Source organism: Homo sapiens, chromosome 14 (genome assembly GCF_000001405.40).
Source record: "Homo sapiens chromosome 14, GRCh38.p14 Primary Assembly".
NCBI classification, from domain to species: Eukaryota; Metazoa; Chordata; class Mammalia; order Primates; family Hominidae; genus Homo; species Homo sapiens.
The window spans coordinates 96,859,444-96,882,059 of record NC_000014.9 but is presented as its reverse complement, the minus strand read 5'-3'; the positions used below and the strand labels follow the sequence as shown (position 1 = coordinate 96,882,059).

The following is a 22,616-nucleotide window of genomic DNA, read 5'->3' as shown; positions in this document are numbered from 1 at the left end:
TTCCCAAGGCAACTAAAAACATTTCAGATCTTAAACTTTCTGATCACTGAAACTCTGAAGTGCTTGGTTTACTGTATAAATATTACATGCTATGAAAGTGAAACTTTTAAGAAAAATAAACTTCTGTGAATGAACAATAGGCTCTATCTATTAATATCTAGTTCATAGGACTTCCGTAGATGAAGCCAGTCTTTACACAATCTTTAATCACACCACCATTTGATCATCTGTCACTTGTTTTCTTGTCATACGGCTTGCATACTGACATAATTCTTATGTAATCTTTCATATATGTAGATTTTCTCTCTCATGGATACGCTTCCTCCACTTTTTATTTCATATTCCTTTCCTGTCTTTGTACCTCCTGTCTCATACAGCAGGTGTTTAATAAAAGATTTTGGGAACAGAACAAAATCAATACAAACCAAACCTTACAGCCACAACATACTGTGTGTTTGCATCAAACAAAAGAGAGTTTTATTTTAAGCTTTGCATTTCCTTAAAAGTGAGGACTTTGTCAAACATTTTTATCCACTCTGAGAAATGTACAATGATTAGAAAAGTGCGTGTCATAATAATTTTCATATATATGTACTCCAAAACATCACAAACACACGGCTTTGGGATAACTTAAGGAGTATAACCTGAAGATTTTCAAATTTCATAAATTAGCCTTTAATGAATTGTACAAAATATTTTTATAAAAAAAGTTTATGTTTTCTGAACACATGAGTATTTAATCATTACTTCCACCTCGCAAGACTCACAGGAAAATAAAACAGTTCAAATAGAAAAGGAGAAAAAAGTCAAAAGAAAACAAAGAAAAGGAAATCTGGTTCACAGCATCTGAATTACTTCTGGACTCTCTTTCTGGTTCTTGAACCTTGAAGAAAAATCAAAGAAACTGAAATCACTAGTCAATAATTTACAAAAGCAAAAGAACAGAAATATAAATATCCCTAAATATAGTTATTAACATTTTAAAATCAAATCGACTCTCGTGATTTGCAAAGATAAAACTGACATACAAAGGTATGATTGCTAATACTCTGAAAATCTTAGAAAATTGGGTCATTTTTTAATATGTCAAAAAATATGCTGACAAAACCTACCTTCTCTTAAGCCATATAAAAATACTGACTGATAAAACGTATCTAATTTTTACTAATACTGAAATATTTCTCTCCAAAATTTAAATTTGTTGTAAAATTTAAAACATTATCTCCAAATATAAACCTTAGCAATATAGATAAGCATTCACTCCTAAGGTGGAAGCGATGAGGTCACACATGTTATGAAAAGCAAAGCAATAAGTTGCTTTTTAAAGACTATTAGCTACACCCTTGAGGCAGGAGAGCACTGGGATATACTGAAATGGAAAGTCTTTTCCGCTAGGAATTATACAGGTCCCAAATGAGTAGCCTCCTGGAAAAGGATCATATGTGATACTGGTCTAAGTCCTTTATGACAGTACCTATCTAACTATTCTGGTTTGGAATAAATCAATGACTCTCTGCTGGGGGCATGGGAATTCTGCCTCACCAAGACATTTCACCCCACCTACTACTCCTACTCCACCTCTGGGTACAGCAGTTAGCCTGATCACGGCTGCCTAGTGCTGGTGAAAGAAGCAGGGCCATTTCTTTCCCACTGCCGCATGCTACGCTCTGCCAGGAAAGAGCAGGGGCACCAGAGTCAGGGACAGCATGGTGCTCATAATTAATCAATGACTGCACGAAAAAAAACAAAAGATCAATACTTCTTTTCTGAAAAGTACGAAACATTCTTTGAATGTGGAACAAAATTCTACCATGTGTATCTAAAGGTTTTCTGATCATGGGTTTTAGTTACTTAACATGAAGGTCAGTTTCAAAACTAGCATTTTTAATTTTTCCAAGTTATAGTTTCTATTCAATCATACAGTTCAATGAAAGCAAATTTCAAGCTTATATGAATATCCTTTTTTCTGCCACTCATAATACATACCCTATATACTGTACTATGATTGATTCTAAAATTTGAGTTTTTTTCTTAAATTTCTGTAACACGGCCATCTATTAAAAATATCCCACAGTAGATTTTTAGGTTTTTATTTCAAGAAATTTTATTTTTATTATTATTATTTTTTTTTTTGAGAGGGAGTCTCGCTTTGTTGCCAGGCTAGAGTGCAGTGACACGATCTTGGCTCAGGCAACCTCCGCCTCCTGGGTTCAAGTGATTCTCCTGCCTCAGCCTCCAGAGTAGCTGAGATTACAGGTGCCTGTCACCACGCCCAGGTAATTTTTGTATTTTAGTAGGACTTAGACTTTCACCATGTTGGTCAGGCTGGTGTCGAACTCCTGACCTCAAATGATCCACCCGCCTCAGCCTCCCAAACTGCTGGCATTACAAGCATGAGCCACTGCGCCCGGCCTATTTCAAGAAATTTGAAATTAATTCTGCACAGAAAACTGAAAATGCTGCGATAGTGAGACTGGCATAAAGGGTATTACAAAATCAAGGTCAATAATCAATACTATATCTCCCTTTCAACACATTTTAAATCTTTAACCACACTACAAAGAACACTAAATTAACAACTATAAAGTTACATTCAAATAGCATTATTCTCATTAATGTCTTAATTTGCCATTTTACTCTGAAATTAAATATCACTGCTGCTCATCTCCTTCAATCCAAAGTTTCTCACTGCAACTAAAAGGGCTACTACTGCCTGGAATTTATTATATAATCAGTCCTACGCACCTTGTTGACTTTGCTGCATAAATCAATTCAATATTTTCCCTAATAATCAATTCTGATTGTTACAAAAAAAACTACCTTATCTCTTTAATTAAATATATAACCATTTTCATAATATACACTACTGGCAAAGGGTCCAATCAGAAGACTAATGTATATAATTTGATATTTGGAAAATAACATACAAGTTTGGGATGCTTTTCTATGATTTTATAATGCAGTAGGAAAAAAAAAGTAGGAAATTTCTTTGTAGGGTTCCCTTAAAAATATCTACTTTTTGACTAGTCATGCTTTCTCCAAAGATTCCTCAGGAATGGTCCAAAATCCAAGGTTCTTAAAAATAATACCAACAAAAGTAGCCTCCATTTTATGAACAGGAGGGGGGAAAGTACACCAGCCATAAATATCATGGCTATATTAGCTAATTTTTAGCACAATTCTGAAATACTGGCATGATTTTGAAATGCCAAAATATGCATGATTTTTAAAGGCTCCTCATTTTGTGAGGGGAAAAATTACTTGCAGCCAGTAACCAAATTTTCTCAACTGGTAAAAATTATGCCTTGCATAAAAATAAAAGGATTAGAGGCCTCTGTTCTTCTTGAAAACCATCCCATCACCTCCTCTATTTATTTGAGAAAACCTACACAATACACATTTTGAAAGCTTTCAGAATGTGTTCTTACACAATAGACCCCCAACTATTCAAAATGAGTTTAGGTGTATCTAGAAAATTATACACATTTTTAAAATGGTCTAAATAGATATTAAAGGAAAGTTGCTCCCATTTTGCTAGGCACAGCATTCTGAAAGATCACACAGTGCGAAAAATCTCTTACCATACTGTAAATCATAAATTGTGTTTGAAAATAAAATTGTTAATGAAGAAACTGACATTTCTAAAGCTGCTGTTAGAGGTAACCATTCTTGAAACACGTTTATGACACAAAATCTTAAAGCCCTAAAACACAGTGTTCACTGAATTGTACTATATATCTTAAAAATTAAAAAAACAAATGTAATAATGTGTCTTTTCCTTCAAGTAACTTTTAAACTGATAAATTTAAAAATATACATTTACATGAACTCTTGGCTTTTTCTTTTTGCTGGAAGCAATAATATTTTACCATCAGATAATATTTCTCTCACTTATGATTATTTTGATAGTAAAATACCTTAACTCGCATTGTACTTTAGGGGAAAAAAGTGAACTGTAATGGGGGAAATAAACAGCATTTTAAGAACGGCAATTTTGAGTTTATATGAATAAGGGTGAATCTGACTATTCTTTATCTTCTGAAAAAGTTAGGTCAAAAAAACTGAATTGTTCTCCTTAAATTATTTATGACTTTACTATACTCTTTTGTCATTAATAAAATAACAAAAATACTGATATATTTTCTCATGGGAAAAAGCATCAGTAGAAGACCTTAAACTAAAAACTTAGGTTAAAAAAAAATTCATAATTATACTAGAATTTAAAGGCATTTATCTATCAAAACAAAAACGCTTGATGCTCATTAAGCAAAGTTCAGGTAACAAATGATGTCCAGGCAGTCAAGAAAGGGATGAGTCTTCCTGATGCGCAGCTGAGACTCTGCCTTAGACTTAATGAGTGTCAATCTCACTAGAACAATGCAGGATCTTTCTGAAACTAAAATTGCCAGTTTTAAAATTTAAGGGATTGTTTTTTAAGAATATTGCTGTATATTTATAAATACTCCTTAATTTTGTTCCCACTCACTGTCATAGCTGCTGCTGCTAGCCTCTGGCTGAGACATGCTTCGATGTATTGCTCCTTGGGACTCCTCACTTCCTAATAACAAAATGAACAAGACAGGGGAAAGGAGGAAAAAAGACAGTAGCGAAAGGAAGACAGCAGCGGGAAAAAGAGAGGGACTACTTCAAAACCTCTCGCCTTCAGTGTGAAGTTATATATTCCCTCTTCAGGTATCTCAAGTATTCTTTGGGTTAAAACAGATTAAACCAAAGGATGTTCTAACCATAATATGTAATGAAGAACATAGTAATAAAATCAGGGCAAAAATGATTCTCTTTGAAAGTTGAATACTGTGCTTTCCACAAACATGCACTAATGTCACTAGCAAAAGGAAGGTAAAATAAATTGGTGGCATTACTCAATATGGCACCTATGCTGTAAAATTTTTTTTTAACCAAAAATAAGCCTTTTCTGTTAGCAACCAAGAAATATTTCAGGACAAACAAAATAATAATTCAAAAAAAAAAAAAGGCAGACAGGAAAAATCTTTTTAAAAAAATGTATTGTGGGCCACACTGAATAGCTCTCTTTATTGAGTCAAGTACATCATCATATCACATGAATCCTGGAACACATTGGCTGGCAGTTTATTAAACATATCAGACCAAAGTCCAACCTAGCTCTGCCCTTTGCAGATGCTGCCTTTGCTAATGTCATTTCTGGAACTATTGGAAGTGCCTTCAGTGCCAGTTTATAAGCCATCTCAGAAAAATGACTTCATACCTTGTTTTTTTTGTTTTTTTGTGTTTTTTTTTTTTTTTGCTTCAAGAACTTTGAAAAGTGATCATCCATAAAGCTTTAATTCCTTTCCTCTTAACTTGTTCAAAAAAAAGAAGAGGTTGACAAACTTTATAAGGAACAATCAGGCAGCTCAGCTGCAACAGACCCATGTCTGACCCCTGACACTCACTATCATACCCAGAGTTATGTGGGATCAGTGTGAGGAAGTGGAAAGACATTGGCCTGACAGTTAAGAGTTCTGGTCTCTATCACTAACCCTTTCACAACAGCTCAGTCATTTATTTTATTTATTTTAGAGATGGGGTTTCTATGTTGCCCAGACTGGACTCAAACTCCTGGGCTCAAGTGATCCTCCTGCCTCAGCCTCCTGAGTAGCTGAGACTACAGGCACACATCAGTCACCACGCCTGGCAGCTCTGCCATTTAATCATTCAGTGTCTCGGGTTCCAAATCTGCAAAATGAAGGAAGCTTCCCAGTCTCAACTTTATAATTATTGTGGAGAGAAAATAATCTAACCTGTGTACAAAAGACACAATACATACTATATAAAAATCTTGTGGTATTTTATTATAAAATCAAAAGGTCATGACCCAAATAGTTGACCCCTCATCTAATGGGAGGAAATGAAATTTGTGTTTACCTATGAAAGCAGCTAGGCAAAACTGTTCAACTTACGGGTCTGTATGGCCTCCTCTGTCTGTGTGTTTGACCATTCCGTATCTTCAACACCAGGTTCCTTGCTTTCTTCAATTTCTTTCTTTCGCTTCTTACATATAAAATTAAAGAGAGAGAGAGAGATATCTGACAGTCAAGTAAACTACAAACTCATCACATATTTGTCTGTGTGTGTGTATAAATGTATATAGGTGTGGGTGTGTCAAAACACACAGGAAGAATATTCTCAACTTCAGGATAGTAGTTACCTAAAGGAATGGATGAGGGATGGAAGAAAGGGGGAGTACAAGAACTTTCAACTAGACAGTTAACCCAGATGGTAGATATATTTGTTATATCCACCTCTAACTTTTCATGCTTTATATACTTCATTATTCAAAGCTATGGTTTAACCATCAGGACTAATCATACAGAAACTCTTTTAAAACAAAATGTTTTACAAACTCACGATCACCACTCAGGCCAATGATACTCTCCACATTGTACAACATGGGTGGGGTGGAGAGGATAATCTATTTGATAAATGGAAAAAATGTATGTCTTGCCCCATTTATTAAATCAGTGTTTGTACCACATAACATTGGTGGTAGAATTCTATTTATGAATCAATAATGAAAAACTTGTAATAATTGTTTCTCTTTTAGCATACTTTTTATTAAAAGTTTAAGAGGGCCATAAACCTTACTGTACATGAATAGTCTTAAAAGTACAAAGCTCTCCGAAAATCTCAAAAATCGTCTGGATTTCCTACATTCTCTTGGGCCTGTCCTATTTTTCTAGTGAAGTGTTATTTAGGAGTCAGTGCTTATATTCTGTCACCATCCATTCTTCCCAAATGTTCCTTCAATTTCATTTTATGTGTTTCTACCACTACAACATTTTCTAACAGGTCCAATCCTGCGTTAAGTTTCTAAATTCTCTAACATCTCTATACATAGGTAAAATTATAGACGGGCATTAGGAATAAATATAAAACTTTGAATTTTTTTATATAACTTTATCTTCTGTAGTTTCAAATTTAAGCAGGTTAAAATACAAATTTTAATCCAAAGCTTCTCTTGGTTGCCTAAAATAAGTCTGTATCATTTAGAAAACCATCCGACATGCCCCAAATCTCACAGGTTCACAATGCAACAGAATGTCCTCATTTATATTTTCTAACAATTAACAATAAGTTAAACTTCATCTGAGAATGTTCCTTGCTGCAGGCCATTTTGTGTACAGCTAGAAAAGAGGATAATGCCTGCTGACAGCACATTGTTCCTTTTCCTAATGGCAACCATGGGTTCTGTTCCAAAGAGAACTACATGGGAAAGCTGAACTCTATTCAAGGCACATTACCTTAAAACCTCCAAACGGTCAGAACTGTTATTATCTATGTATTACAATTAATCCCACTGTTTCAAAACATTCTTAAGGTGGCTGTGGAAAATTAGAACTCAGAGATACCCACCATGTTCCTAAAGAAAATGCTTCACACATACAAAAATAACAACTTGACTGAACCTTGAGAAACTTTCAAAGGCATTCATTTAGCAGATTTGTATATGGGGGTATTGCCTCTCAAAAATAGCTGTAAGAGTGGCTATAACTTCATATAACTGATGAGAAAAGGGGAGAATGCCTTACATCTTTCTTTTCCAGTGTTGCTTCATGATTACCGTCTAAACCCTGCTGGGCTGAACAGATTGGTTCGATAATTACATACAATAACTGCAGTGGGCAGGTAACCCTCAGCTGGCACAGGGCAGCTCCCCTGTGAGAACTTCCATATGCAAACTGCACTGATGGAGTGCATTAGGTACATCTTTCCTGCCGGTGCACAGGCCTGATTAACGCCAGCCAAGACTCCAAGGTTAGCATGTCAGCAGATTTGTGATGCATTAGGCAAGAATAAACACAGACACTTTTGTTTGTTCAGACCAAAATTAAGGAGGAATATTTCAGTACTATATTGCTTTCCATACAGCAGAGAATGCATTTCCCAGTTTTTGGAGAGCAGATTTTTAAATGCTCATCATAAAGGGAGCTAGCTATCCAATACATTCTACCCAAGAACCTAAGTGCATTCATCTAGTTTTCAAGCTTATTTAATAAAAGGGGGCTTTCTTAATCTCCATGCAGGTAAATTACATAGGAAGGAAAATCAGACAGTATTCAACCAACAAAAGAAACACCTGTGCTTTAAGCAGTATGCATTACGTAAAGCACTCTACTGCATTAATCCACACTTCAGCCAGGTAACTCCTGCCCAACTTTTCTAATAATGTACGTAGTCTGCATAGAAAGGGCCAGTGGTCTACAGACCAATTAAAAAACCAAAATAAAACCCTTCAAGTTTAGTAGTACCTAAGTATGTTATCAATTTTATAAGGCAATGAGTAAAATTCTAAGCAATCTGCTCCCAGCTTCTTCCTTCTGAATCTTTCCAAATGCTTCATTTTGTTATTTGTCAACATCCTTAGGCTTCAGATAGTGCATATTTTGGTTCCTTTTGAACAGAAAAATGTCTTCACAAAGTGACTATGCTAATCTCTGATTTTTGTCACATTCTGTATCAGGTCTCACAGGTGCCTTTGCGTTTAATATGAAACCAAAATATTGTATGATATACTAAAATAACTTATAAAATAAACTTGAGTATTCTTTTAATTCAGCACAGCTAAAATATCTTCAAAACTTAGATTTCAAAGGGCACCAGCATATATATTACACATTATATTTTTGAAGTGTTCAGATATGCTAAAGTTTAGTTAATTAGCAGCTTCTCACTTCCAATTTAGAAACAGGAAGACAAACAGGCTAGATGCATTTGAACTGATAATTTACTAATAGTCTAAACACCGATTGGAGACCTGCTGTAGACTTAAAGCTGTTTTAATAGAAAAGAGAAAAAAAATCTTCAGAAGCAAAAACCAAAGACCAATTCTTTGCTTCCCAAGTCAAGCATCAAAAGATCACCTCTAGATGCTTTCAACAGCTTCTAAGAAAAGCCAATCAGATTCATGGCTGTCTCTAAGAGATGCGTACTCGGGCAGTGTTATTTGGGTTTTGTCCATCCCATAAGACAAAAGTCTACATGTCTACTTTAGAAACTTAAAATATACAGCCTAGAAGTTTTAAAATGCTTCATATAGCACATATGTCATATGTGCTATAGAACACAGTTTAGAACAAAGTTCTTTGTTCTAAACACTGCACTAATCAGTCCATGTGACTAATCAGTTAATCTTATTTTATTTATTTGATTAAATTATTACATTCCCTAAAAGTGGCTGAAAATAGAATATTAGTAGTAACTAAAAGAAAAAGGACACATCTTCTATGAAGGTTACAGCAAACATGTTATTATGCCACAATATTTATGAAACTAATAGATTTAGTTAAAATCTACTATATACACAGAAAAAACTGAAGCTAGGGACGGAAAAAAGCCAGAGAATGTGCTCAGTATTTCTCAGCTGATGGTGATGAAAAGACTAGAACTCAGAGCTCTTTATTCTTATTGCAATTTCCTTTCCACAGCACTATGCGGTCTCCTATGTGAGCTTTCAGTAGGAAGCAGCAGTTTCTAGTTGCTGTGTTCTTAATGTATTTTTTTCCAGAGTTATATTATAGTACACACATTTGTGTATTTCATGTAAACTATTTTCATAACCTCCTCTATTTCTCTTCTACTACGTATGTTCCCTGAGGGCAAGGACTATGGTTTTCCTCATTTATCTAACCCTTAATGAGTTTGGCACAGTGTTTTGCACATATACAGATGTGCACCTGTAGAGTAACTATTGAACTATTCTTGTAATAAAGAGGTAATTTCATATCTTCCTCTAAGTCTCTCAAAAACTGTAATATTTGAATGGACATTAATTACATATATGTTTTAAGAAAATGCAGAGAAAGGTCAAACATAACTACAGGGAGAAGAAATAAAAAGATGGAGAGTTAGGAAATGAATGAATGACTTGAAAAGAGACAGACAAATTTGAGGAATAATCTAAAAATATCCTGCTAGAGGCCCGGCGCAGTAGCTCACGCCTACAATCCCAGCACTTTGGGAGGCCTAGGTGGGTGGATCACTTGAGGTCAGGAGTTTGAGACCAGGCTGGCCACATGGCGAAACCCCGTCTCTACTAAAAATACAAAAATTAGCCAGGTGTGGTGGCACACACCAGTCCCAGCTGAGGCAGAAGAACTGCTTGAATCCAGGAGGCAGAGGTTGCAGTGAGCCAAGATCACACCAATGAACTCCAGCCTGGGTGACAGAGCAAGACTCCGTCTCAAAAAAAAATAAAAATAAAAATAAAAATTTGCTAGAATTTATTAAAGTGATTTATTGTTTTCAATGAGTTTCAGTGATGAAGACTGTAATAAAAATAATGACTATTGCAATTTCCTTCCACAACAGCACTGACCTCCATCTGAACAGAGGTGAAGATCACCACCATGTACTTATTAAGCATCTACTGTGTGCCTGGCACTGTCATTTTCAAGCTGAAAAATAGACACTATAAAATAGTTAAAGCAAAAGAGAAACTTCATCTTTTATAAAAACATTAAATACACACACGTTTAATTTCTGCAACTATTTGTTTTGCTATAAGCACTATAAGAAATCCTTTTAGGGTTCCATAAATGAGTGTTCTTACATAAGTGTCCAGTGTAATCCCACTAACATGGAAATTCATTCATTGAAGTATCAATCCATATGTAAATGTAACACACACATTACATCACAGTCCACCCTTGATTTTGTTGTTGTTGTCTACTTGTTTAAATTTAGATCTCTCTCCTGTCAACATTTTTAGTTACCTACTCTGGAGATAGAAAGGAAGTACAACTCAAGCAATTTTGCTAATTAACAGGTCTGAAGGAACAAGGTTAGCAAAATAAAATGATTAAATATATGGCACACAAAGTTTGGAATATCTATGTTCTTCACTAGTTCAAGGTATCCCACCCTTACAATACCATGAAAAATTAAGAATTTACTGTAACTATCAAAAAATAGCACACCAAAAATTACAGGTAATTTATATGAATGTGCCAAAAAATACTGATACAATGGTAGACTTTGTCAGAATAAATGGAGGAAAAAAACCATCTGGTTGGCTATCAGGGTTGATTGCTCCATGCGCAACACATTTTTTTCAGCAAAAGCACTGCTTTCATAAAGTCAGCATAATTTGTCTATTCACTTATTTTAGAGCACATGTATGTCCCTTCAGCTTGGCTTACTAAGGAACTAGGGAAAGCTGCCTTCAAGCTCTACTGTCATCCATTCTCCTAGAAAAAACATTCAGCTAACAAGCAGATTAGCTGTGAAACAAGCTAACCCTTGATTACATGATCTACAAGAGTACTACATGCTTAAGAACTTTCATCAAAATGTCATACAATAATAGCAAGCACAACCTAGAAAAATCTCCTAATGACACTTTTGAAAACCGTAAATTCAACTTCCAACTTGTTGGCAGCAATGGCTTTTCATGATTCTAACATCATTCATGTTACAAGGAGATCATGAAACTTTAATATGATCAAACGTATAGTCAGTTAACAAGACGAAAGCTGTTTCCAGAGATTCAATGAACTACGGTCTAGAAGACTAATATGTCAGTGTATTCTATTCTAGATTAAAGTCAATGTCACATCTCTTCACTCATGTTTTCCTCTGAGGGTTCCATGACATGCACCATTAAGGTCGAAAACTTTTGGCAAAGTTAAGATGGTTCAAGTACAATTTATGGGAAAAGGCAAATGAGTGGCCGGGTCATGCTTTAATTATCTTTAATATTTTATGCCTAAAATCACTAGGATGCCTTGAACTTTCTATATAAATGCATAATAATAATGATTTCACAGCCCTGAACAAGTCACCTGGCCTCTTCTGAGTTTTAGTCCCATCATTTATGAACAAATATATTTCACAGGCATGCTGCAAAAGTTATAAAAAATAATTTAAAGGTCCTGAAAGAATATAGAAACTACATAAATGCTCAGTGATAACCTAAAGTTTAAAGGGTCAATATCCTATTACCTGTACTGAGCACAATCAAGTCTTCTGAGGAATGCTCAAGAATTAAAAATGTAAGATTTTGAAAACTATTTAATATAATACTATAAACTAAGGAGGCTAATCTTTATAAATACATCAATGAAAACCAAAACCTATATATATACTGGTGGGGAGTTAACTAATCTCAAGGCAACACATGAACAAGCGTATTACAGAACAAATTGGGCTACATTAGAGTTACTATTAAAAACATACTACCTGATCTTCCCTCAATAAACTTATGTCCACAAAACACCTAATTCCTAAACACGCAGGCAGAAAATGGCAGACACAGAATTCTCTGGTGGTCAGGACTCCTCTGCTTTATGTCAAGTACTATTATCTTCTCGTATCAATTATTTAGCTTAAGAGAAAAAAGGGATAACTACAAACTCATTAATTTGACTTATATGTTCTTAAAAGGTATGGAGCTATATTTTACTTATTTAAAAAATCTGTTTATATTCTGCCTTAACAAGATGGAGCTACATTTTAGTCTTTATTTCATAGTAATTAACATCTTGTCTTTCACTGCAAAAATCAACTTTTACCAATTCATAATCGTTTACTATTCAAAACAACCTATTTTAACACACATACTCACTAAGTAAAATATAACCCAGTCTTCATTCACATGTGCCTAATACCCTGTTTCATAAACTGAACTTTTAAAGATCTAAGATCTTAGTTTATTAGAAGGTTCAAATGAAAACAGATTCAAATGAAAACGTTCCATGTTATTTTCTTATCATCAAGAAACTAGAAAGATGGGAAAAGTTAAATAGTGGATTAAATAACAGCATTAACAATAATATTGCAGTTAACATTTACTGGTCACTTGCTATGTGCCTGCCACTGCTCTAAGCACTTTATATCTTTTATTCCTCATAACAATCTTATAAGCAAGACAGATAACACTCTTATTTCAACTGAAAGAACTTTTTGAAAAAATTCATCCATTTTTACACGAGGCCGGGCGTGGTGGCTCACACCTGTAATCCCAGCACTTAGGTAGGCTGAGGCGGGCAGATAATCTGAGGTCAGGAGTTTGACCAGCCTGACCAACACGGAGAAACCCCGTCTCTACTAAAAATGCAAAATTAGCCAGGCGTGGTGGCGCATGCCTGTAATCCCAGCTACTTGGGAGGCTGAGGCTGGAGAATCGCTTGAACCCGGTGGCTGCGGTGAGTCGAGATCGTCCCATTGCACTCCAGCCTGGGCAACAAGAGCAAAACTCTGTCTCAAAAAAAAAAAAAAAAAAGCACAGAAATGCTTAACATTTCCGAAGAACTGGCCATTATATCAGAAAAATAAATCTAATAATATCCTTTGAGATCTCAATTTTGAGTACTTCTTATAAGCATGTCCTTTCATTACTTCAAGAAATTCTGCTGGGCACCATTCAAGACATTTATATGACACCAAATTTCCTTCTGTATCACTTATAGTAAAGTACTTATATATACAGAGATCAAAAAATAGTATGTGTGCATCACTGCCCACATGCAAAAGCTGGTCATGGGGCTGATAAATGCTACAATGTAAAGTCTAAAATGCCCTGTATTTGCTATGCCTATTTACAAAAGGGCTGTTTTCTGCACAGAAGCTATTCAGACACTCAAATTTTAATATGCAGTGGTTCTTAACTATGTCTGCATAATGAAATCACCTAGGAAGTTTTTTAAAAATCCCGACGGTCCCACCCTTATAGCTTTTGATTTACTTGGTCTAGGGTGCAGCACAGATACTTAAAAGCTCCCAGGTGAATTTATTATAATATGCAACTAAGGATGCCACCCACAGCCTCACAAGCACCTCCATTAAAATGATCTGAGGTATTTGTGTGTTAATGGACCAGAAAAAGAAACTGGAGAAGCAGTGAGTCCTGGCACCTAAAAAACAAGCTATCTGGCCACAAATTTCACTCATTTCTGAAATCACTGGAAGTAGATGTCTGTAATGAAAATTCTATTAAACTAACAGGAAAATAGGTATTCCAACTTTGACTGAGGTATACACTATTAAAATAAGTCAAACAACAAAAAACATGACTAGATAATAAACATTGAAAAAAATCTAAGCAATATCACAGAACCAAAACAGAAAGGCATTAAACTCAAAAAGAACAATCCCTCTGCCAAAACAGTTAATATAAAAAAGTCTCATAATTACTATTCTCAAAGGATTTAAGAGGCTATCTTACCAATAAAACAAGAATATGCTGACATATTAAAAAAAGAACTAGTACCCTTAAAATATGACTAAAAAACAAAACAGATGTAACAAATGGGCAAGAAGAAGCCCACAGATCTATACAAAACAGCGTTAAGGAAATGAACATGTGGTCGAAGAGTTAGGAGACATGGAGAAAAGAAGCTAGCTTCCAGAGTTCCCATATTCATGTGGTAGGAGTTCCGGAGGGACAGAATAGAGAAGGAAAGGAAAGGAAAGCCTCACATACACAGAAAATAAATTGTTCAAGCGTCTAAGACAGGCATTAAGCCTTTAGATGAAAAAGGTCTGCCAAGTACCAAGAAAGATAACTAATTAAAGTGTAAAAACAAACTAGAACACACACACACACACACACACACACACACACACACTTGTGCACAGATATCTGCAGAATGCCAGGACAAAGAGAAAGGCAAGAAGCTTCAAAGCAAGAGTGGAAAAAATAGAAATCTAGTAAAAAACAAAAATTAGGAAAATTAGATGTTAGAAGGCAACAAAGCAATGTCTTCAATTAAAAACTATATAGCCACATTAGTTTTCAACTGGGGAAAAAACAGACATTTTTGGACTTCCCAAGATTTACAAGTTTACCATCCAGAAGCTTTCTTTAAAAAAAGATTGAGCATATACTCTGAAACATAAAGTCAAGAGAAAGGACATGGATAACAAACAAACAAAAAACACAAAATACGTTAGACTCATGATTAACTCTAAAAAATAATACATAGTATACAAATGACACAAAAAACTAGAACTAAAAATTCCAGATGACTGCAGTATGAGAGATGGTTTGTGGAGGGCTCAGAGTGTAAAAGTAAAAACAAGCTCTGTTTACTCGTGAGAAAAGAACATAAATTCTAATTAAATGTTCACACACATAAACAAATTAAAATGTGTTAAAAAATGAGTGGAGACATTTTGGAGGTTAAGACTTCACAACTTCCCTCCACCTAAAATCTGAAGTAATGAACCCAAAATAACAATTAAGAAATATTTCAGCAGCAAACAGAAGTATCATAGCTTTGCAGCATAACCTTTGAAAAGTGATGACCATGAAGTTTGTCAGACACTTCAAGAATGTGAGCAAACACCATTCTGAAATTTTTCACCAGTGGCCCCCAGTCTAGAAGATGTAAGTCAGGCAGCTTGGGGGAGAAAAGACTTAAGCCCGTTGAAAAGAGGAAACCCTCCCTACTCCCCAGTGACTCCCCAAAAGCAGGACCTGTAATTTTGTTTCTTCCCTGGCTGGGAAGAAACCTGGAGAAAGACGGCAGAATAATCAAAATCACTAATTATCCTCAACAGTAAACAGGGAACTGCCACAACTGTTGAGAAAAGAGAACATAAATAAGAAACACATAAAGAACTAAAGTCATGGAGAAGAGATCGCCAATATAGTCTTTCTTTCACTGTGGATTCACTAAGAACATCCCAAATTAATAAACTCACATTTTTGCTTCTTCTGGGTAGGCAGAGAACCGAAGCAAATACTGGAAAATGACTGATAATTTGGCCTATGGCTCATCAGATCCACCCCCAAATATGTATTCATAGGTAAAGAAAATGAATTGGCAATATATCAAGCCCTAAAATCCAAACTATAAAGAATAACATTCTCAAAGATGGGAAAGTCAAAGATTCACAAATACAATAATCTAGTAAATTCACATAAAGCTCTCCTTATCCAATATGAATAAGATAGAATAAGCACACGAACAAAGAATACCAGGAGACAAGAAAAGAAACTGAAAAAGAAGCTCATAGCATCCAAAAGATAGCTGAAGACTCCACCTCTGAAAGAAAACAGTCCTCCCCCAAGGAAGAAAATTTTATAAAATGCATCAGAGGCTTAAAAAACTACATTTAAAAATACTTACTTTTTTTAAAAAATAGAGGAAATGATTTAAAAGACAAAAGGATAACAATGAAACCACACAGCTAAACAAAACAATCATTACAGAACTTATATATATTAGGAATAGTAAAAAACAGAGCAAACATATCTGACAATCAGATGACATAAAGGAAAGACTTTGTATAATCACAGATAATCCAAAAAAAAAAAACAGAAGAATTAAGCAGTTATAAGAAAATAGACATGGATGTTGTGTATTCCCTCTACAGACACAGAAGACTACAAACACGACTGAGATAAATGGAAGAACATCTAAGTAACTATAGGGGCCTACTATGGCTATGGAAGAGAAGATGTCAGTTCTTTCCGAATTGCTCTATAGAGTAAAGTCAACTTTAGTCAAAATCCTAGAAGTATTTTTGAGGAAACTAATAAGCCAATTCTAAAATTTGTATGTAAATTCAAAGAGCGAAGAATAGCAAAGACAATGCTAAAGAAATAAAAGTTGGAGAATATATGCTATCAGGTATCATTATGAAGACAATAGTTCAAACAGTGTGGCACTGGCACAGAGATGGACAAGCGGGCCAATGGTACAGAATAGGGTATCTAGAAAGAGACTAAAATACCTATGGTTACCACTGCAATGCTGTAAGGACACGATCGTCTTTTCCACAAATGGTTGAGATCAACTAGATATCCAAAAGAAGGAAAACAAATACTGACTCACACCATGCACAAAATCAATTTCTGTTAAACTGTAGACTTAAATGTGATGGATAAGATAAACTTTCTTGAAAATAACATATCTTCATGATCCTAAGTAGACAAAATATTCCCAAATAGAATATAAAAAGCACTAACCATAAAGACTGATAAACTGAGCTTCATGAAAATGAAGAGATTCTATTCATTAAAAGATACCATATTAAGAGTGAAAAGATTAAACACCAACTGGAAGATGATATGTGCAACACATACATTGTTTACATACAAAGTATTCAACTCTGGCAAATCAAAAGAAAGCTAACGACCCCAATTTTTTTTTTTTAAATAGGCAAACGATTTGAAATGTACTTCACCAAAAAAAAAGGATTATCAAGGCTGGCAGGCATACAAAAATGTTTCAAATCAATATTTTTCAAGGAGATTAAATTAAAACCATAAACAAATCAGTGCACGTCCACCAAAATAGGAGAAATTAAATATAATGCAAGAGCTAGTGTCAGTGAGCAACTGGAACTCCTCCATGCTACTGATAAGAATGTAAGCTGAGAGAGCAGCTTTGGAAAATTGGCAATATCTACAAACCCTCAACATAAGTAAGCCCTAGGCTGCAGCAACCCCAGTACGTACAGACCCAATCTGAAATAAATGTACATGTTTCCCCCCAAAAATTAAAATAATGTTCTTAACAGCATTATCACAACTGCCGGAAACTGGAACAATTTGAATGTCCATCAATAAATTACGGTATAGTCATATGGGATACTACACAGCAATGAAAAACAACAAATTTTTGTTACATGCAACAGCATGGAAATTCAGAGATACAATTAAATGAAAGAAACAAAAGAGTATGTAATATATGATACCATTACTATAAATTTCCCCAAAAATTGCAAAACTAATTCTGGCAATGATCCACATCTTGATCTGGGTGATGTTTAAATGAGTATTGTGTAAAAGTGTACTTATTCATGTACTTTTCTATACATACGTAACAACTTCACTTAATTAGGGCAAAAAAGTCCACTTGACAAAATTCAGCCAAATAAGAAGTTCAAAATAAAGAATTCAATAACAGACCTAAAGAAAAAAATTGTTAGCAAATGCTGACTCGACTTAACTACAGTACTATGATCAAACCATTAGAAAACAGGAATGTACTTCAACAATCTAAAATTTATATAATTAAAATACAGTTTATCTTTATTACCGTATCAGGCTAAAACAGCTAGATAGATTTTCACCAAATTTAGAGCACATTCAGGGCAACCCGACTGAAACTATAGGCTACAATGGTATAAAGGCTGTACGAGGTGCAATCCCTTCAGAAAGAAAGGAAGAAAGCTGTCCACCGGAGCAGCTGCAGGCTACTGATTTGCAATGGAAGGGCTTTGCACTTATTCAACTCTTTGTACCCTGTTCCAGGCTAAATGCCAGCAAGGGTTTATTTAACAATGGTTAAATAAGAGAAACTCTAGAAAGACCAATTAGCATAATGCAGCCAGAAAAATAAAATTTTAAAATTTTAAAATTAGGAGGTAAAATAGAGAAGGAAAGAAAGGTATGTGAATAATCATTCATAGGGAGCAACAATATAGGCTGTCTGAAAATGAAAAACTAAAATACAAATTGCAAGGCCATGATCTAGACCTTACTCAACGACTTTCCAGGGATGAGATTCCAGTCAACAACCCTTTTTGTTGACTTAGGCAGGCAACTTAAAACCCTAAAATAGTTCATGGAAGTGTTAATGTCCTTTTAACTTGCTGAGCTCTTTCCAGTAAATTAAGCTGTTCTTAACCCAGATGGAACAGGAAGGAATTCTTTAAGAATGGGACCACATGTCATTGATCTCCGTAGCCCTAGAGACCTAGCCTAGATCAGGTACATAAACTAGACTTTTTATGTAATTGTTGAATGTTAATTTATGAGTATACACTGAATCCAATAACTGTTGCACTGTACTGCCAGATTCTAAAAACTGAAAATGTTTAGTTCTAATCAACAATAAAAATATTTGACTTTGTACTTTTTAAGGGCAGATGTATACTTGATCTCTCTGTTCTCCTTCAGCCTTATGTCATCCCAAAATTCTATGCTTTAAATAAAGCTCCTTGATTATTAAGCAGAAAACATTTCCAAGTGGGTAAATTCATGTTTCACTCTAGTTTCCAAATATACTGCACCATAATCAAGCATGGCTGCAAAAACATAGACAAGAAACCTTGCTTCATTCCACTGTTCATCAATTCCTGTAGGTTTTTACCAAAAAGAATATTTCTTAGGAACCTAAATACAAACATATATTAAACTGATTAAACCTACCCCTTTCCAAAAGAGATCTGAGTCTGATATATACACAGAAAATATACTTCACACTTTCAAAAATTATGACAAACGAAAAGAGAGGAAACAAATGTACTAATTATTAAAATTAACAGTTTCTAGAACTAAGCATCATATTTAGTTTTGAGCCTCCTGACATCCAGAGCAAAAAAAGACATCTGGGTTATAGATCTTGCTGAAAAACAGAGGCAGCAAGCTAGTTTCTCAAAGGAGAAAGCTTTTCATTGCAGGGAGCCCCCAACTTCTCATCCAGCAGAGCTCTGCTTTTATCTGTTTTCAGTGACAGCATTTACAAATTATATGAAGAAAATGTTCTGCAGTTTAAAAGAAAAGCTTGAAAAAAAACTGGTCTGGTCCAGTTCTTTCACTTTACAAAAAAAAAAAAAGCTAACAAAATTAATAACTCACTTCAGTTACATGGCTATCAAGCAGCTCATGATCTTACCTAACCTTAACTTTTATTAATTTCTTTTTAATACAAAGAATAACCCTGTGTCAGCAATGAGTGTACAAAAAGTAGTAAACTAATGAAATAAATCTCCTAATAGTTCAACTTGTTCAACTTAGTATTCATTTTTTTCCCCTAAATGAAGCTTTATACATGTCAGGGATGATCCAACAGGAAATTTCCAGCCTTCTGAACTATCCAAGGACACCACAGAATTATAAGGTCACAGATGTTAGCTCTGCAGCAGACTGACCTACTCAGCTGTAAAGTCAGCCAACCTGCAGAAACTACATTTTCTCCAGCATGTAAGTCCAAACAACAAAGGGATTTGCAAAGGAAGGTAGGGGCGGGGACAGGGGGATGGGGGTTGGGCGGAGGGAGGTGGTTGCTCTGGACAAGTTCTCACATAGCAGCAGAGATCTTTACTTCTCAATCACCAAAATTTTAGAGAAAAACACTATACAAGCTACCTATAAATATTAACGCAGAGAAATCTATCCTGAGCAATAAGAAACATGCTGCTTGTTTATGCATGTATGCAAAGAGTAAGTTTACTATAATACCTTACTAAAAAATTCCACTCAGGCTTCCATTTTACCCTCTTCATTTCAAACAGATACAGTTTTCAGCACACTTGTTGACCACAAAACTGGAGCAGATGCAATTAAGATAAAACTTATCAAAGAAAAAAAAGTATATGTAGATGCATGTATATAATTTCAGATTCTATGATGAAATTACAGAGACCTGCTATTTGGCAAAGTTAAATTTTTGGTCCAATTTCAAAATTCCTATCTCCTTTGTTAATTGAAAAGATAAAAACTTTTCAATGTGCTGCGTCTGATTTTAAAGAGAGAAAAATTTGTTTTAACGCTTTTTCTCAGTTTGGAATACGAGATTTCCAAATAAATCTATTAGAATTTGCAAAGTTAATGACAGTAAAAATGGTTAATAATGTAAAAAAAATTTTTCTTCTAAAAGTTGTTTTCCTTCCTCATATAAAAATAGCTAACACATTGTATTAAATAATTTCAGATTATAAGGGAAATCAGTAAGTTTATCAGTAAGTTAATTATCAAAAATAATCAATAGCAAATCAGTAAGTTAATGCATACCTGTAAAATCTAAAGTGATGCCAGAAGTTCTTTACATGCTTGTATAATACTTCTACCATAAAGTTCATTATTTAACATTTCTCTCCAAACAATTAATCCCCTTATATGCTGATATATAGCTTTATATAATATTTCTTCACAGAGCAAAATAATGTTCAAATGGTAAAATGCACCACACCAACAAACAAGGAAATTTTCAAATGGTAATTTTTCAAATGCCCGTTTTCAACTGGTAAATACTCTGACCATATCCACAAATAAGAAACAACCAAGACAAGATGAACCCTAAGTGGTGACTTGGGAGAAAAGAACATATAAATTATGAATTCAGTGCACCATCAAAATTTCCCTGTCAGATATCAGTATTCCAAGTTAAAATCAGTTCAGGAATTTAGTAACTTGCTACTAAACATAAGAAATATATAAATATTTATTTTTCTACAACCCTCTACACATTTTCTGTATTACAAAAAATGTTTGCCTTAATTGCCATGCAATCTGTTATTGTTCTTCATTGAACTACTGCTATACTTTCTTTTAGTATTTATTGCAATTATAAACACAAGAAGACCAAAGAATAATTTAATAACAAAATTCACCTTTGTTATTGTTTTTGCTTTCAAACCTCCATTCTCCACAACACTGAGGTCCAATTTGCCATCATCCTTACTTCCTATAGCTTTTAGTCCTTGCAAAAGAATGTCACGTAAATTTTCATAAAGAGGTTTTTCAGTGTAGTCTAGTAATTTCACTGTTTCCATGTATTTGGCAATTTCACCTAAAAGAATAACACAATCATTTTATAACTTTCAATATATTTCTCTCTAACCTCTAAAAAAAATAATTCATGGTTATAGTAAAGTTAGAATGCAAATACACATCTTGTTAAGATACCTATTTTTTTCAATCACTTCAATGAAAAGTATGCTTTTGAACTCAGGAATTGTCAGATAACTGAAATTTAAAAAGTATTTTGAGATACAATGTAAAACACACTTTTTGTAATTGTGAGAAACAAGACAACTTAAAATGTAAATACTCATAAAAATAACTATTATAGTATTAAAGTTATAAAAAAATACAAAGGGATCTAGAATAAAGATTAGAAAGTAAAATGTCCTTAAATACAATGAATATCATAGCCAATATGTTTTTGCCATCAAAGCCATTAGCTCTATAGCAGATAGCTATATTCTTCGTGTAAATGAGAAATAAAACACACCAAAAAGAGGCCAAAGAAAGAAGAAAGAAATAAGATCTGGCTTTCCTATAAAAGAGAAAAATCAGCTTCCAAATGATAAAAGTGTACTGTACACTTAGACAGAACCACACCATAAAAAAGAAATCCTACTAGTCAAGATCAACACTTCTCAATATTAAAAATTCATTTTTGAGCTAATGACTCACACACAGACCTTTCCCCCGACCTCCAGACTTGTATATCCATCATTTCATATACTGGTCCTTGGATGTGTAAATATCACCATTAATTCCAACAAACCCACGTCTAAACTCTTGACCTATCCCTAAAACTTGAGGTTTTCTCTGTCTCAGTTACTGAGATTTTCATCCTTCTAGCTCCTCAAGCCAAAATCTGAGTTAGTCACCCTTGAATCATTTCTTCTCACACCAGTCCTTCAAGAGATCTTATCAGTTCTACACACACACACACAAGCGTGTGCATATATACACACATTCATTAACTCAAATATTTATTAAGCACCTCCTATGTGCCAGGCACTATTCCTAAATACTTGGAATATACCAAGAAAAAAACGGACAACAATCCCTAACTTCCAATTTCTTCATCTGATAAAGGAGATGTACAAAAAACCTAAAACAAATATCACCATGTATGATAAAACATTGAAAATGCTCCCCTGGGAGAGAA

The 22,616-nt window shown here is 34.4% G+C and overlaps 1 protein-coding gene across 10 annotated transcripts in view; it reads right to left on the bottom strand.

The window, feature by feature from the left end:
* VRK1 (VRK serine/threonine kinase 1) overlaps nt 451–22,616 on the bottom strand; it is an 84,228-nt gene continuing 62,062 nt past the window's right edge. For 3 of the 10 annotated variants that reach the window (NM_001411051.1, XM_047431752.1, XM_047431753.1), the window contains 4 exons: nt 21,325–21,503; nt 5,940–6,030; nt 4,487–4,558; nt 451–883 (listed from right to left, as the gene is read on the bottom strand). In NM_001411051.1, coding sequence (NP_001397980.1) covers nt 852–883; nt 4,487–4,558; nt 5,940–6,030; nt 21,325–21,503 — 374 coding nt within the window. In that variant the 3' untranslated portion in view covers nt 451–851. Of the gene's footprint in view, nt 884–4,486; nt 4,559–5,939; nt 6,031–21,324; nt 21,504–22,616 lie in introns of those variants that run through there. The other 7 variants (XM_047431755.1, XM_047431754.1, NM_003384.3 and 4 more) reach the window with 4 other exon arrangements.